Below are 6,539 nucleotides of genomic sequence, written 5' to 3'. Positions count from 1 at the left end.
AAATATATAATATTTATATATATGTATTTATGTAAAACAGTGAGAAGAGTGCCTAGCACAAAGCTAGCAGTTAATCACACTATTTGTTATTTTCCAGCAGCACGTCAAGCTCTATATATTGAACTATACTTCTTACCCACTCACTCAAACCTCCAGTCACTTTCTGCCATTTTCTCACTTGATTGGGAATCATATATAAATCATATACATATCATATATATAAAATTTATATAAATATATAATATATAATTATAGTATAATATATAATATATAATTATAGTACAATATATAATTATATAGTGTAATATATTACTTATATATAAATATATAAGTATATTAATTATATATTACATTATATATTGTGTAGTTTAATATATGTTATACTATATTATATAATAACATGTATATAACATAGTATATGTGGTATATCATATATAGTATATATAGCATATATACTGCATGTATAGTATATATAGCATATATGCTGCATGTATAGTATATATAGCATATATACTGCATGTATAGTATATATAGTATAATATATAGTGATATATATTACATAATATATATAACGTAATATATTTTTAATATATTATATTTTATATTTTGTTTCACTGTCCCAACCTTCCACTTCAGATTGCCTAATTTAAAATTTGGAATCCTTAGCAAGAATACCCAGTTCTTGTCAGTTGTAATGATGCTGAGTTGGAAGACAGTCAAGGAAGAAGGCATGATATGTTCATCTAGGACTAATCAGGAAGCTAAAGCAGAAAAATTTCTAAATAGCTCATATGATGAAGACCAAAGTTAATTCAATTTTTTAAAAAAGTGAATGCAATACACGTTTGTATATTTAATTATATTTTTCCTTTTTAATTTTTGAAATTTGCTTAGCTTGAAATAGAACAAAACAACTGAGGTCAATCTGTGTATATTAGTTTCCTATTACTTTAACAAATTACCAGAAACTTAGTGGCACAAAGCAACACATATATATTATTGTACAGCTGTGGAAGTCAGAAGTTCAAAATTGTTTGCATTAGGTAAAGTCAAGTTGTTAGGGGAGAATTCATTTACTTGCTTCTAGAGGTCACATGTATTCCTAGGGAAGGCTATATACAATATTATTTGTCAGTTATACCTCAATAGAGAAAAAAGAACATGAATATATGAAAACTGAAGATTTTTGAAGCCATTTTTGCATTTCTTCCTGTGTATGTGCATATGTGTTGGGGATAAGTTGTTAGGACTTCCATACCTGAATATCAATAAGTTTAATCAATTTGCTTTCTTCCCAGCACTACTCAAACTGAGGTAAAGTGTGTTTGGCGAAACACAGATTAGAAAATTTCTCTTTAAACTAGGACAATCCCAACGAGCGCAGCACTCCTAGAGAATTGACTGCAAGCCACGTCTTATCCAAGCACTGTCCATTGCTCTAAATTCCTGCGAAACTTATTAACAAAATTACTTGTTCCTTTTTTCCCTTTTAACAACATTATAATTAAATAATTAACGGTGTAATTTTTTATTTGATAGTTATCCCTTGGCAAATTCTTAAAGTTCTATTAAAATCACAACCATATCTGTCTTGTTCACCACGCTACTACAGCAACTAATAGATTCTATGGTACACAGTATATACTCCGTTAATATCTGTTGAAAGATGGGAAGAAGAAAAGAAGGAACCAGTAAAGAAAGAAGCAAGGGAAAAAAGAAGCCCCAGTCACTAGTTTGGGCCTGAATAAGAAATAATGATGCATAGGTGTACATGGACACTATAAATGAGACAAAGCAGCGAGGAAGCCTCACAAGTTTAGAGCCATAAGCCAGATACACAGTATGCAAGGTAGAGAAGTCCAAAACCCATTGATTTATCTCCCTTTATATATAGAGCTTGGCCCATCCTGCCCAGAGTTAGGGGGTGACTTCATAAAACATTTTGCTAGTCTGGAAAGAAGAGAGAAAAGTAAACTTTTGAAATGGAGCCCTTTTGGGGGTAAAAAAAGCATTGTGAGGAAGTTGCGCAGGGCAAGAGGTCTTTGAATCAGCATTAAAAAGGCCTACTTTTGATGTAACACTTTTAGTAATTATCTGTTTAGTTTTCTCCTTCAACATTCAACAGATATTTAATAAATGAATCATGATACCAATGAACGAAGGCCATGATGGAAACAACCCAGGGCAATATGTTCACTGCCTCAAGGGCAGTTACCCAGATGAGGTCACAAGTGTAATCATCACAGAGGAATAGATGCCTAGCCCAAGATTTGAAAGATAAACAGAAGTTATCCAGGCAAAGAAAGAGTGGGGAGTGATCTTCCCAGATGAGGTGGCTGTGCAATGGCAGGGAGGCTTAAGATGACATAGTGCATTCTGAGAATTACGTGTAATTTGCTATAAAGGGAGTGAACAGTAGGAGGATGTGATTGGGTTGATCAGAAGTATCAAAGATGAGGCTGAGGCTGAGAATGTTTGGGTCTTATCCCAAAATTAGTGGGGAGTTTTAAGGCCAATTAAGCAACCAACATGACTGGATTTCTTCTCCCAGCTGCATAGCAATTGAATTATACGGGGGTCAGAGATGGGGTCTCTTCTAGATTAAGAGAGAAGTAATTGCAATGGTTTTGGCAAAAAATTATGAACACCTGTACCAATGCATACATGATGAGAATGTAGAGGAGATGATAGTGGTTAAGTAGAGAGGTAAGGCAGAGGATGACGGAGCAGGTGGAGTCACTGATGTCTCCCAGGTTTCAGAGTAGAGTGTCTAGGTGATTCCCAGTCAAGTGAGAAAATGGCAGAAAGTGACTGGAGATTTGGGTGAGTGGGTAAGAAGTATAGTTCAATATATAGAGCTTGACATGCTGCTGGAAAATAACAAATAGCGTGATTAACTGCTAGCTTTGTGCTAGGCGCTCTTCTCACTGTTTTACATGTAATTGTGAACCTCAAATGAGATAACATTTAAGCACTTTTGGGGAAAGTATAAGGTGCAACATTGTTGTGTGTATTAGGATTTGTATATTTATCGTATTTCGAAGAGTAAGGCATCAGGGTTTTCTTTTTAACTGAGAAAATCACACTACAAAAAACTTAAAAAGATAATAAATTGACAAACTATCATGTATTACTCTTTTTTAAAGAAAAATGATTTAATGGGACTGTATTTTTAAATATTTCTAAAATAATGCCTTTCTATACAGTTAGCCTCATCAATTGAAAACATGTAATGTTATTTTAAAGTGTTTCAGTGGTTTAACGGGCAAAACACTTGAATAAGAATTTCAAATAATTATTTATTACTCTTGCTCAGTTCTTCTAAGCATGAATCTCTTTTCACTGATACACAGCTAACCCATAAGAGGAGCCTGATCACCGTTAGCTACTCCATTTGTTGGCCCACTATAAAAACCAGTGTATTCATGTAGCGTCGGTATTCATTTTGCCTGTTCACATTTGCAATTCTTTATGCTTCACAGTCTGTACCATAGCATGAGTAGCTTACAATGCTTTAGTAGAGCATATTGTTCAAGAACTACTATGTTTCATGTTACACTGATAAACTACTCATTAAAGTTTAAAATATTTTCTCTTCCTTTAACTGATATATTGAGTAAACCGTTTACCATGGATTGAGAAACTTGACAATAGAAAAAAAACTGTTGAATTATAAATGAGATGCTGAGTATGAAAATAATGAATTCTACACTTTTCTTATGTGAAGGCAAAGACCATGAAAGTCCACTAAAGCTGCAAATGAAATTATCTTGTGCAGTCTGATATCAGGAATACAAATAAATGGCACAAAAGCTAGTAATATGTATTTAAGAATTAAAAAGCTGCAGAGTCAAGCCAGTTAAGTATTATTTGAGCTGTTGAGAGTAGTGAGAAGAATCCTGAATTTAGTATCAAGGACCTAGGTTTAAGTGCTGGTATGATTTTGGACATCTCTGTATTGCTCAATTTCCTAATCAATGCCCAAAGCTACTCATGTATTTGTATAAATTTTAAAAATATGCATTTTTAAGTTATGATTATTATTATGAACACTGAAGACTCACATGACATTGGTAATGTTTAAAAATGCTCTTCATGGGATAAACTATATTAATGTTTTTTACTGAAAATAATATAGAAGTGGCTAAAATGACAGCATGTTTTCCAAATGCATCAGTGAATTTCAAAAGGAGGCATTTGTCATCATTCTAATTTTTATCAGAATAATAATAATAATATGCCAAATGCTAGTATTCCTTCAAAACATAATAAATTTTAACTTAAAATTTTGATGCTAGCATTGACATTCTACATTTGTAAAGTTCTGTTTACTTTATCACGTAACTTGGGGAAAAAAATGTTTCTTGCCAGACAAGACTTCCTTGATTAACAAAATAGGAAAACTGATATTCTCTCTTCCAAACTTGTTATTTTCGTTTTTAATTTTCACCACCTGAAACAGTATCTTCTATTGTTTATTTGTACACGTTCTGTCTCTAATAGAGTGCAAGCACTAGGAGGCAGGGACTTTGTTTAATTCACTCTTGCATCCTTAATGTCTGGCCCATTGTCTCGCACAAAGAACGCCCCCAATAAGTATTGTTGAATTGATATATTTCTGCTGCTAGATATTGTATTATATTAAATGTGCTTCCTCATTTAATTATATTAACCCTTTGAATTAGATAATAATAGTAGAAGCACTTAAATAGTGTTTTTGTGTTGTCGGCCAATGTTCTCAGGGCTTCACTCAAATCAATTCTCATAGGAATCTCATAAAGTATTCTCATATGCAGCTAAGAAAATGGATGCACAAAGAAGTTAAATGACTTGCCTAAACTTATTTATCTAGAGAATAGCTGAATTCGATTTTAACCTAGCCAGCGTGGCTCTAGTTTCCATGACGTTAACTGTTACGTTATAGGCCTTTCTACATGTTTATCTTACATGTTAGATAGCTGTGGCTGAGAACATTAATGGAAATTGTACTGTTTCCTTACGTATGTTTTATATTTATGCTGTATTTATGTTTATCATTTATTTTATAATGTATTTTTTAATCAGTAATTACAATAAGGGAAAATTAATATATGAAGTGCAGAAATCTGTTTAAAACTAGTTATATTGAGAGCTACTGAATTGCAGATGGTTAGAGCTAAATACCTTAATTGTCACCCATTTTAAAATTTGTTATTTCACACATGAGGCCCAGACAAGTACAGTGACTGTCTGTGGTCACCAAGAATGTTAGTTATTCTAGTTTGAAGTTCTTTCTCTTGGGTAGAATGCTTTCAGATGAGTAGGTCAGACAGCATAATTTTTCAATTCCTGCCTTCTCTGCTTGCTTTTTGCTAATGAAGCATAGATGCTATGGTGATAAACGCTGTATAAATAATAAATGGAACAGAAAATAAACTATACAGAAGGGAGGAACGTAATGGTCTTTTCACCTCCTTGTGTTTAATGATTAAACTGTACATCCTCACAGAGGCTTTTAGAAATGATGATAATCTATTTAACCATCATTTAGCCATATATATTTTCAGATTTTTAGATTATTAAATATATTAGCTACTGCTGTACTAATTATTTGAGTAAAGAAATAAACTATGCTTGCAGTAATAATTTTATTGTTGACTTTTTCTGTTGTTTAGTCTTAAATAAATGACAAAATTGAACTTAAATATTTAAAATTCATTTTTCAGATTTTGTAATGGACATTATTGTTTTATTTGTGAACTCAACAGGTATTTACCACCTTCCTTCTAAACCCAAGTACTATTCCATGTGCTGGATGTAGAGTGAACATGTTAGGCAGATAAGTGTATAGCATACTGTCAGGAAGTAAGAGCTATCAGGAATGATAAAACAGAATGGAGGAGATAGAGAGAATCTACCTCTGATAGAGTGGTCTCAGCAGACCCCTTTGAGGAGGTAACCTGTAACAGAGACTTGGATGGATTAAGGGACCAATCTGTAAGAATGCCTGGGGAAGGTGTATTCCTAAGAGAGGGATGGGTAACTGCAAGGGTCTAGGAGATGGGAAAATATTTGTCAAATGTGAGAAACAGCAAGAGGGCCAATGTGACAGAAAGGAGTGAGAGAGCGGAAAAGTGAAGGGAGGCAGGCACTGGGGTGGGTAGAAGCGAGACTGAAGAGAGACTTCTAGGCTATTGTAATAACTTTAGACTTTGTTATAAAATGGGAACCCATTTTGAATAAGGGTGTGCCATAAAACTAAGTGATATATTTTATTCCAAAGCAGGCAAGAGGATTAATTTTATGTGTTGACTTGACTGGGTTAAAGGATGCCCACGTAGGGGATAAAACATACTTGTGGGTGTGTCTGCGAGAGACTGGCATTTGAATAGATAGGCTGAATAAAGAACAGCCTCACCAATGTGGCAGGGAATCATCTAATTAATTGAGGGACCGAATAGAACAAAGAGGTAAAGGAGGGGTGAACTTGCTTTCTGCTTAAGCTACCCCTGTGGTTCTCAGGCCTTCAAACTCAAACAGGGTCTTACACCATTGGTTTC

Source organism: Homo sapiens, chromosome 12 (genome assembly GCF_000001405.40).
Source record: "Homo sapiens chromosome 12, GRCh38.p14 Primary Assembly".
In the NCBI taxonomy this organism is placed as follows: Eukaryota; Metazoa; Chordata; class Mammalia; order Primates; family Hominidae; genus Homo; species Homo sapiens.
This window is presented reverse-complemented; position numbering follows the sequence as displayed.